This window comes from Homo sapiens, chromosome 15 (assembly GCF_000001405.40).
Source record: "Homo sapiens chromosome 15, GRCh38.p14 Primary Assembly".
Taxonomy (NCBI): Eukaryota; Metazoa; Chordata; class Mammalia; order Primates; family Hominidae; genus Homo; species Homo sapiens.
Window position 1 is genome coordinate 49,845,089 of NC_000015.10, and position 11,932 is coordinate 49,857,020.

The following is an 11,932-nucleotide window of genomic DNA, read 5'->3' on the forward strand; positions in this document are numbered from 1 at the left end:
CCAAAAGAAATTCCTCACATGTTTACTACCTTCCTTCTAATTTCCTGTCCCCTCTGTTGTTTATTGAGTGAAAAAGGATGGCTGTCTTATAAGGAACATCAGATAGCCTACTTCAAGTCCACAGTGATTTTCAGGACTGGCATTTGCTATTACTTTATAGGTCTGGCCAATGCCTGGTCCACGAGAGAGGTGTTCACGACCAAGGTGAGAAGGTACCACTTGCTTACATTTTTTGCCTCTAGTGCAAGTACATTCACCTTGATTCCTCTCCAGTCATGTGGTTTGAGTTACTTTGGCCAGAAGCAGCAACTGAGGCCCAATCTGTGCTGTGCCCACAGGAAACTTCACAAAGGTTTACGTACAGAAGCATTTGGGGCCATGTCTGTCTTGGCTATGGGGACAGGTGGGGCTAAGCCGGCATCTCTGCTGTCAGTTGCCAGACTGCAGAGAGAGGCCCTTGCCTCCTTCCACAAGGTGTTTCCAATAAAGGGGACATATTTCCTTCGTTAGAAATAAACACAGACTGACAATATCATAGCATTTCTTGGGAAAAGAAGAAAACAGTCTTCAAACGTCCTCTGTAAGCTCCTCTGATGTGCATCTAGGTGGGGCTGGCATGGTGAGGAGAGAAGTGTATTATGAGAAAGCAAGAAAAGCACCCACACCATTCCATCACTAGATTTGACTTCCCAAACTAAAGAGGGTAGGATGACATCTGCTTAGCTACATCATAGGCCATCAAGGCTTGAAGAGACATAGGGTGCAACCTCCCTATAATGCTGATGAGGACACAGAGCCCAGGGAGGCTGAAGGATCTGACCACCTTACACAGCAGTCAGGGCAGAGCTGAAGCTACAACCCGCAACTTCTAATTTCAGTCCAGTGTATTTTCTGAAGTACTCCATTTCATCCAACCATCTCAACAATTGAACAAATCTGTTCATGTGTGGTTGGTGCTATAAGGCAATGGTTTTCAACCTACAGTCATGTTGTGAACCTCTGGGATATTTGAAAAATTACCAACACTTGGGCCTCATACCCTGAGATTTCAATTTCATAGGTTTAGTGTGAGGCCCAGCATAGACATTCTTAAGAGCTCTCCACTTGATAGTCACAGAGTTGAGAGCCATTACTTTAAGGAATATATATGGGAAATACTGGCACTTTCCTCTCCATTTTGCTGTGAACTTCACATTGCTCTAAAAAGATAATGTCTTGCCTGGGCGTGGTGGCTCACGCCTGTAATTCCAGCACTTTGGGAGGCCAAGGTGGGTGGATCACAAGGTAAGGAGTTCGAGACCAGCCTGGCCAACATAGTGAAACTCTGTCTCTACTAAAAATACAAAAAATTAGCCAGGCGTGGTGGCGGGTGCCTGTAATCCCAGCTACTCGGGAGGCTGAGGCAGAAGAATCGTTTGATCCTGGGAGACAGAGGTTGCAGTGAGCCAAAATTGCACCACTGCACTCCAGCCCGGGCAACACTGTGAGACTCCGTCCAAAAAAAAAAGATAAAGTCTTAAGAAATAAAATAGGAATATAAAGATAAAAATGACATGTTTCTAGGATCTCATGAGGAGGCAAACAAATACATAAATAACTTCCAAGCTAGGTGCTACAGAAGGTCCAAGAATAATATGAATATAAGTGTGATCCTGCCTGAACTATGCTGTCTATGGCCACAGGACTAATTTGTGTTAACTCTACTGTTTGTTCCACCAAGGCAAAGCTTACTTACCTTCCAGGCCTATCTCAAATCACACCTCTTCTATGGGCCTTTTTAACAAGACTCCAAAAACAGCTGGCATGCCTCTTCTCTAAACTTCTACACTACCCACAGGCCATAGGCAAACAATTTAGCACCAAATTATATATTATTTTCATTGTTACACTATAGTAATAGTGAAATGAAAGCTTCTACTTGTTCAGTGCATACCATGTGCCAGCCACCCTTTATGTTTTCTACACAGTGCCACCCATGCTCCCAGGAGCTCTATGATGCTGGTATTAATATACCCATTATACACATTAGGAAACTGAAACTCAGAGATGTCAAGTGCCTTGCCCCCAACCAGACAGCTGGTAAAGACATGAATTCAGGTATGCATGTCTCTAGACATGTTGCTTTGTATCAAATACAAATAATACTTCTTTATTATAGCACGTACTCCTGACATATTATTTTGCAAACTGTAAACTTCTTTGCTGTTCATTCACTTGTTTAATTCTTACTACAGCCCCACTATCAATTCTATTTGTGAGGGAATTAAGTCTAGAAAAATTAGATACAATTGCTCAAGATTCCATAGCCTGGCCAGGAACCCAGGTGTTCTATTCCAAGTGCAGGGCCATTTCACTGCCCACATATCCATGTGCCGGGCTCTGTTCCATGCTAACCTGAAGTCCCCTGAGAGAAAGCCTGTGTTTGATGCTGCTTCTGTATTTCCCACTGATGCCAGATATGCAGCCTGTTGCTTCATTAATTGATTTGCCAAGAAGTAGCAAGAATGTCCCCAAGACACAGCCAGACCCTAAGGACTTGAAGAATGAAACCACAGCAATTCTTTGGGGGCTGAAAATAACTGCTGAGAAGACATGACTGTGGGTTATTTTTAGTGCCATGAATAAGTTGTATTCTAGAAAAAACAAACAAAACTCCAACCTTTCAGTCACCATTTTTGAAGGAATGATTCTCAACTATCTACATCAACTAACAGAAGCAAACAGCAAAAGCGAAAGAAGTGACCTGCCCATGACCAAAGGATGGATCAGTGGAAGAAAGTCAACTTCCTTTCTCCTTCTCCCCCAAAAGTTTCCAATTTAAATCCCCAAAATCTCCAATTTAAATCCCAGTTATCTGTCTATGACACAACAATGTCTCTTTAGCCATATCCCATCTCGTTTCGTAAAGGATTCAAAGTAGCTTGCAACATGAATAGATATAATAAGCAATGATAAAATATAAACAAGTAAAGACTACCAAGGCTGAGGAACATGTAAATATAAGAAGTCAAGTCCAAGAAAAAATGCCTTATTAGTCAGAGAGGAAACTGTCTAAAGCCCAAAAGACTGCACTGCATTTAAAATAGATCTTCCATGCATGAGGTTTAGTTGATGAGGTATTTTTAGGGGCTCAGTCACTACTGTGGGTTTTACTCCTTGCCGGATATTGATCCAAAAGAATAATTGAAGCAATGAAACTATAGAATTTATCTCCAGGATGTGGTCAGCACACAATATTCATGCCTCCTTGGTTAAATAAGAGACGTGTTTTCCAAGTCTAATGTTGCCAAAAAGACCACGTCAGTGCTTTCTGTGGAATGGAACTCTTATTTCAACAGTAAGTCTGAATCATGACCATTTATTTATTTAACAGATATTGTGACAATAAATTATCTGCCAGGAACTGTGCAATGCATTGCTAATTCAAAGACAAGACATAGACCCTCTCTTACAGGACTTCTCTCTCTGGAGGAGCAGAGAGGCTTGTAAATATACAATAAGTAAAAACATAACAAGTATGATTAGAGAGGAATGCATAAGGAGTTGTAGAAGCAGGGATAGAGACAACCATGTCACTGAGGTTAGCAAGCACATCTTAACTTCTAATCTAACATCTTGTAACACATCTAGTTATAAGGATGCAGAGCTTCTGGGTTGGCAGAGGTGGGGTGAGCATTCTTAATTGAGTGGAACTGATAGAATCATAGAAGAAAGAACTTCCTTTTGTGACTTGCTGAACATCTCCATATTTCTGATTTGATTTTGTGGAGAAGTAAGGCAGACAAATGCAGCAGTGCCATCTCAAAAAGTGGCGGCCAGCAGGAATAGGACAGAGGAGTGTGAAGAAATGCTGTGGCAAGTATTTTGTCATATCCAGGTTAGTGAGACGAATTTCTTGGCAGTATAGGCATATTGTTCTTGGCAATTCTGTATATGGTAAAGGGAACTTCAGGATCCAAATCAACTTTCTGGCTGACTATGCATCCATTCAAACCACCTATGATCACATTTAAAACAAAAATCTAGCATCTCAAGAGAGATTTAAAATGGAAGGTTTCTTTGCCAGTGATCTGCACCAAAAACTGGAAGCCAGCAATCAAAAGTGAACAAGTGTTTCAAACTTTCAGGCCTCTGATGCCTGACTCAAAAATCTGAAGCATCCCCTTCCTGCTGACCCAGCTAAAGAATACTTTGGTGATCATACAAAAATATAATATTAATATACTATATTCATACTATAGTTATATATAACATTTTCAGATTATACATATTTATATGTATAAATATATATTTACATTTATATAGTATAGTATGAACGCTGAATAATTTATAAAATTATGATTGGCAAAAAGCAACTTGCTTAGAATTTACAGTGATTGATTATTTATATGTATAAATATATATTTATATAGTATAGTATGAATGCTGAATAATTTATAAAATTATTATAGGCAAAAAGCAACTTGCTTAGAATTTACAGTGATTGATTCCAGCATATGTATCTGAAGAAGCACCAAAGCAGGGGTCCATGGAAAATGGACACTTGCCTAGTGTTAGCTCAAGTCAGGTTCTGACTTTCTCCTGTAGAAACAAAAGCAGATAAGGTAACTTTCAAAGAAAATTCTTTTTTTTTTCCTTAAACTGACTCATAGCTTAGAAGTTGAGAAAATAAAGAAACAGCTAAGAAATATTGAAGGGTGTTGAATGTCTAAGGGAATCAGATAAAAAAGAAGAGCCTTAATAGGAAGTGTGCACATTTGTGACCAAAAATTAAGCTACCAGAAACTATGAAGAATGAATCCAGAAGTCTTAGCTAGAGAAATCATGCAAGAGAAAGAGATAAAAGGCATCCAAATAGGAAAAGAAGAAGTAAAATGATCTCTCTTTGCTGATGATATGATTCCATAGACAGAAAGTCCTAAAGACTCAGCCAAAAGGCTCCTGGAACTGATAAACAACTTCAATAAACTTTTAGGATACAAAATCAACACACAAAAATCAGTAGCATTTCTATACACCAAAAATGTTCAAGCTTTGAGAATCAAGTCAAGAACACAATCCAATTTACAATAGCCCCCCCAAAAATGAAATATCTAGGAATACATGGAATACATCTAACCAAAGAGTTGAAAGATCTCTACAAGGAAAACTACAAACACTGCTGAGAGAAATCATAGATAACACAAACAAATGGAAAAACATTCCATGCTCATGGATTGGAAGAATCAATTTCATTAAAATGGCCATACTGCCCAAAGCAATCTACAGATTCAATACTATTTCTATCAAGGTACAAATGTCATTTCCACAGAACTGGAAAAACGCTATTCTAAAATTCATATGGAACCCAAGAACAAGCTAGATAGCCAAAGCAATCCTAAGCAACATGAACAAAGCCAGAGGTATCACGTTATGTTACTTCAAACTATACTACAAGGCTACAGTAATCAAAACAGCATGGTTCTGCTACAGAAACAGACACATAGACCAATGGAAGAGAATAGAGAACCCAGAAATAAAGCTACACACTTGTAGCCATATGATCTTTGACAAAGACAACAAAAATATGCAATGGGAAAAGGACCCCCTATTCAATCAACAGTGCTGAGATAGAAGCTTTTGCTGTGCAGAAGCTCTTTAGTTTAATTAGGTCCCACTTGTCAATTTTTATTTTTAATTTTTGTTTATGGTGGATTTAATTTTTGTTTATATGGCTAGCCATATGCAGAAGAATAAAACTGGACCCCTACCTTTCACCGTAAACAAAAATTAACTCAAGATTGATTAAGGATTTAAAAGTAAAACCTCAAACTATAAGAATCCTAGAAGAAAACCTAGAAAACACCATTCTGGACATTGGCCTTGGGAAAGAATTCACAACTAGGTCCTCAAAAGCAATTGCAACAAAACCAAAATTGACAAGTGTGACCTAATTAAACTAGAGAGCTTCTGCACAGCAAAAGAAACTATCAACAGAGTAAACAGACAGCCTACAGAATGGAAGAAAATATTTGCCAACTATGCATCTGACAAAGGTCTAATATCCAGAATCTATAAGGAGCTTAAACAGCAGAACAAGCAAAAAACAAATAACTTCATTAAAAAGTAGGCAAAAGACATGAACAGACACTTCTCAAAAGAAGACAGACAAGTGACCAACAAACATGAGAAAATTCTCAACATCAGTATTTATAAGAGAAATGCAAATCAAAACCACAATGAGATACCATCACACACCAGTCAGAACAGCTATTATTAAAAAGTCAAAAAACAAATGCTGGCAGGGCCGTGGAGAAAAGGGAAGACTTATACACTGTTGGTAGCAATATAAATTAGTTCGGCCGCTGTGGACATACTTTGGAAGTTTCTCAAATAACTTAAAACAGAATTATCATTCAACTCAGCAACCCCATTATTGGGTATATACACAAATCATTCTACAAAAAAGATACATGCACTTGTATGTTTATCACAGCACTATGCACAGTAGCAAAGACATGGAATCAACCTACATGCCAATCAAGGGTGGATTAGATGAAGAAAATGTGGTACATATACACCATGGAATATTACATAGCCATAAAAAAGAAGAAAATCATGTCCTTTGCAGCAACATGGATACAGATGGAGGCCATTATCCTAAGCAAATTAATGCAGGAACAGAAAACCAAATTCCTCATGTTCTCCTTTATATGTGGGAGCTAGACATTGGGTACTCATGGATATAAAAATGGCCAAGAATAGACACCAGGGACTACTAGGGGAAGGGAGCAAGTGTTGAAAAACTATTGGGTACTATGCTCACTTCCTGGGTGACAGGATCATTCATATCCCAAACCTCAGCATTGTGCAATATACCTATATAACCTGCACATCTACCCCCTGAATCTAAAATAAAAGTTAAAATTAAAAAAAAAAAAAGACCAAATCTATGACCTAAGTGTCAACTAGAGATAGCATTGGGTTAAGAGCACAAGCCACTCCTGGGGTTTGAATCCCAGCTCTTCCATTATACGTCTCTGAGAAAGTTACTTAACCTCTCTGGGGTTTGATTCTTTCCCTTTAAAATGGGGAAAATAATGGTGCCTACCTCACTGGGTTGCTGTGAAGATTGCATTGAATGAGCTAATTATTATGAGGCTTAGCACAATACCCAGCACTTAGTAATCCTCACAATCCTTCAAGGAACATCTCATGATCCCCATTTTCCAGGTGGGTAAATGCACTTAGAGAAGGCATCTTTGCTAACAGTCCCACAGGTAACCGATGGACTTTCTAAAGTGTCAGCCATTCCCCTGGCTTCTCCTTCCCCTCCTTCTCCTAGGTGGTCAAACTATACAGAGTATAAATGTTCTTTCACTTTTTTCCTACGACTCAATCTGTCCCATGACTTTCTCTCAAATATTCCCCTTTCCCAGCTCCCCATGATGCTCAAGTCCTTTCTTTTACTATGAAAACATTTTTTCTTTGTTGCTGGATTTTGTTCTCATCAATTCTTTTATGCCAAGGACATTCGGGACTATCCCATACTAAGAAGTGGTGTTAGAGAAATCCCCTTGACTATTTGGGTATCAGTTTGCCATTCTTTGGAAATTATTCTCCCACCACCACCTTTTCCTCAGTTTTTATTTTTTCATATTTTTTCAGCCTCAAGGTACTCCTTCCCAGATCTAGACAAGGTCCCCAAGGAAGATCAAAACATTTTTGAGGTCAGGAACTATTCCAACTCACACTATCTAGACTACAGACTAATTTAAAGACTACAGACAATCAACAAAAGCTGCTATTTAACTCAAAGGACAGAACAACTATTTTCAAATATTTGAGGAGCTGTCACATGAGAGATACTTATTCAGTCTCTTTTGCAAGGGCAGAGGCAAACAATGCAGGGTAATGATGGGGAAACAGACCTCAGGTCAAAAGAAGAAGGAGATTCCTCACCAATGGAGCTGTTCGAAGGGAGCTGGCTTCGTTGAGCTCATGAGCACTGCATCATTGGGAACATCTGAGCAGAGACTGAATGCCATCTGCAGGCTTATTCTGAAGGAAGTTCCTGCATCAAGTTGAAAGTATGTACATAGTCTCCTGGGCGAATGCAGGAGAATCACCTGGAACACTTTTAAAGGGGTTACAGCAGGTAACTGAGGCAGACTTAGAAGAGTAACCTAGATGGGGAAGGGCATGTTAGGTGGTAAGATTAGATTAGAGTGAAGGAGGCTACGCAAGACAGATCACCCACCTTACAATTCTATCTCAATCATCAATGGTACTCAGACAAGCATAGTTCCTCTTTGAGCCACCCAGGGTGAGGATGTGTAGAAGGTACTCTACTCATCTCCTTCTTCATTTTGTGGTGATACCACTCCAGCTCTGGCTGATTTATGATGCTATTTTAGAGAAGGTCCCAGGCCACTTACCAGAGGGTCAGAGAAAAAAGCCCATGGTAAAGGGAGTTGATAAGAATGTGTATCCAGTCTACAACAGCAATTAGGGGCCTGGGCCTGATATCCTGCATTTCAGCCTAATGGGTGGATGAATTAACAACACCACCACAGTGTGGGGAATAGGAGGAAGAACTGGGGGTGAGGATGATGGGGGGATAGAGGGTGGAGTGCACAAGAGTTGTATGAAGCAGCCTGGACTTGACAGACACACATCCTTCATTAGCACTCCTGCTCAGAATGAGCTGATGACCATGACTATTATACCAAATATCAAGTGAAAGAATTACACAATGGGTTTGAGTTTCTTCTACAGAACTGAGATGTAAGAAGTATCAAATTTTTTTACCTTTTCATATCAAATTAGACTGGCTCTGAACCTCTAGTCTGTCCATTCCATCTCCTTGGAGCGTATAAGAATTTCAGGTCTTACCTAGTCCCAAGAGACAGAGAAGGGCTTGGTCCTTAGTCCTGATACAGTTTGGATATTTGTCCCTGCCAAAATCTCATGTTGAAATGTGATCCCCAATGTTGGAGGTGGGGCCTGGTGGAAGATGTTTGGATCATGGAGGTGGATCTCTCATGAATGGCTTGGGCCATCCCCTTGGTGATAAATTCACAGGAGATCTGGTTGTTCAAAGTGTGTGGCATCTTCCCCACTCCCTTTTCCTTACTCCTGCTTTCATCATGTGATGTGCCTGCTCCCCCTTCACCTCTGCCATGATTGGAAGCTTCCTGAGGCCTCCCCAGAAGCAGATGCTGACATGCTTCCTGTACAGCAATACAATAAAAAAGTAGTTGACATGAACTATATTTTTAAACCTCCTGCAATCCAATACTTACCAGATTTCATAATTTAACATCTCTGAAATTAGAAGTAAATCTTACATCCAATGGCATCTTTACAACTCTAAGCGGCAATATTCTTCTTGTTTTCCCGTGGTATGTAAATGAATGGTGCATCATTTACAAGGGGGCATTTTAGATTCCATCAACTGTGGTATGTATAATGCATGGTTGAAAGATACTGGGTTAGAACCTCTCCGAAGGCAAGAAAAAGAAACCATTTCTTATTTATCTTGTACCGTGGCCTCTCCACACTCAGTGTTCTATTAAGTGATTGATTCACTTATTAATTTTAAATTTAGTCCAGTAGAACTAAATTTGTTAGTACATTTCATCTGAGAGGTCTACTAGATGTAAGCTATGTGTGAACCATACATGAGAACTTTGAGGAAGAAATGGAACCGTAAAACAAAGTCTTGCCTGTCAATCAAAAAGATAATTCTGGTCATCTTGTCTACCCCTAAGTATTTAACTAAGCTCCCAAACTATGAACCACAATTATTTATATTATAATTGTAAAATATATATTTTTAAAAATATTTCAATTAAAAATGTTAGTATTCATTGAGACAAAAAACCATACACAATACCTAAACATATTTTGTCAATAATATGCAGTTAGAAACTATTCCTGTTGTTCAAAACACATCATCTCGTACCTTCAGAAAACTATTAGCTACCACACAAAACGATACCAGGAAAATATTTTGACCTGCCCTATAGTGTTTTTGGTGTTACTTGGTTTAAAAAAAAATCTTGCTGTTTTTATCTGGTTTAGACCAAATAGGCACCTCATAAAGAAAAATAGGTATAGTTTCAAATGTGACTTATCACGTGGTCCAAATAGGTCAGAGTGCCAGCTGCCATTAGCAGTGGGGCAAGACTAGCCATTGATGGCCCATGTTCATTCTTATTGGTCAGTGTCCCTGTCCAACTGTTTGTTAAATAAGCTTAATATCTCCCCCAGTCACTAATCATAATCCCAAATTAATTTATTCTTTTTCAGTAGTCATTTAATGAAAGTGACATTATCTCAAGAAATTCAGTAACAGGAATTTTATTCAAAACCTTTTCTGAGGATGTTTTGGGGTCAATATTATTATTTCTGTCCAATCTTGGTGCATTATCTCATACTTCCCTGTATCTCTATAGTGTCACATACTGGAGCAGAGACAGAAAGGGGATGAGAAGGAAAATCATCAGCTGTTAAAGAAGCATCCTAATCATTGCTCACATTTACCTAGAAGAAGGCAGGGAGTATAGAAACATTTATTACAAGGGGTGAAACAACTAGATTTCTTCTTGATCATTACTTTACTTCCAAGTTAACTATCATCTCTCCATGCATCCTGCTCCAGTAAGAATTTTCTGTGTAAGTCTAGGGCTGCAGTTTATTAAAAATTTTAACTTGCCCTTATAAACCTTATGGGAATCTGAATTGAGATAGCCAGAGATATCTGGCCAACTAATCATTATTATTTCTTGAAATCTGGATGTTTATGTATGCAGCTCCAAGCTGATTTGTATTCTGCACCAGTTACAGGAATAGATCTGCCAGGAAGTTTTGAAATTCAAGGACAGATAGGGTTAAGTCATAGCCCCAAACTACAGATTAGCCCAGCAAGGTCCTCCAAATCTTTTGCAATACACATTTGGTAATACGTGGGTCATTTAGTTCTGGCTTCCAGGCAGTTCAGCTAAAGGCTTAGGCTAGAGAATTGCAAAAGCTTATGATTTCTCACCAAGGAATGAAATGTGACGCAGTAGAGCAAACTGCAGACATTTAATACCAGATGTTAATGTAAAAATTGGAAAATTGTGACCCCCCCCCCCCACACGGTTATCTGACCCATGGCCTGCAGAATTCCATCACAAAGTCTGTAAGTCATCATTATTCCTGGATTCCTACACTATTAACTTTGTGCCTACTCTTTGTAGTGTAAAATAATAATTCTGAGTCATATAACTGAGATAATTAGATTATATCAATCTTGAGGCATTTTGTGCACACACTAACAGAGTAATTCAATTTCTTACCATAAAAATCAGAAGTAGAGCTTTTCTCATTAGTTGGATTTCCTAGTGACTTTTTAGAAATAGTTTGAGACATTTTTATTTCCTTTGCCTTCCACACCTACCTGACGTCACTAAATGCTGTAGGAAAGGAAGGAAGGAAGGGAGATTTTTCTTATTTGCACTGAAAGGTAAAAGAACATTTGAAACATATATTTCTGAACATTTTTACATTTATTTACACTTTTCCCTAAATCTGCACACTTTACATCTACACAGACACAATACAGTTTATGTAAGAATGATACACAAACTGCAAAGTGCTCTATAACTATGAAGAAAATTGTTCAAGCTCTGTTGCTTCAACTTCGGTCCCAAGGGAACAAAGGCTCAAAGAATCTCCTCTAAGCCCAGATTCAAGGTAGGGAGGACTTTTAAATGAGCTCTTCTTAACAGGACATGAGTATCTTACCTTCACATCTGGATACTTTTGTTACTCAAAATGATGAGAGAGGAAAGGAGGGTGTGGAGATACCTTCATGAATCATTAACAAGAAACAGCATTCAACTGACCCAGGTAAAATGCCACCACAGGGTTTAGCAGCTCTGTGGTGAGCTGAGAGAAAAGCCAG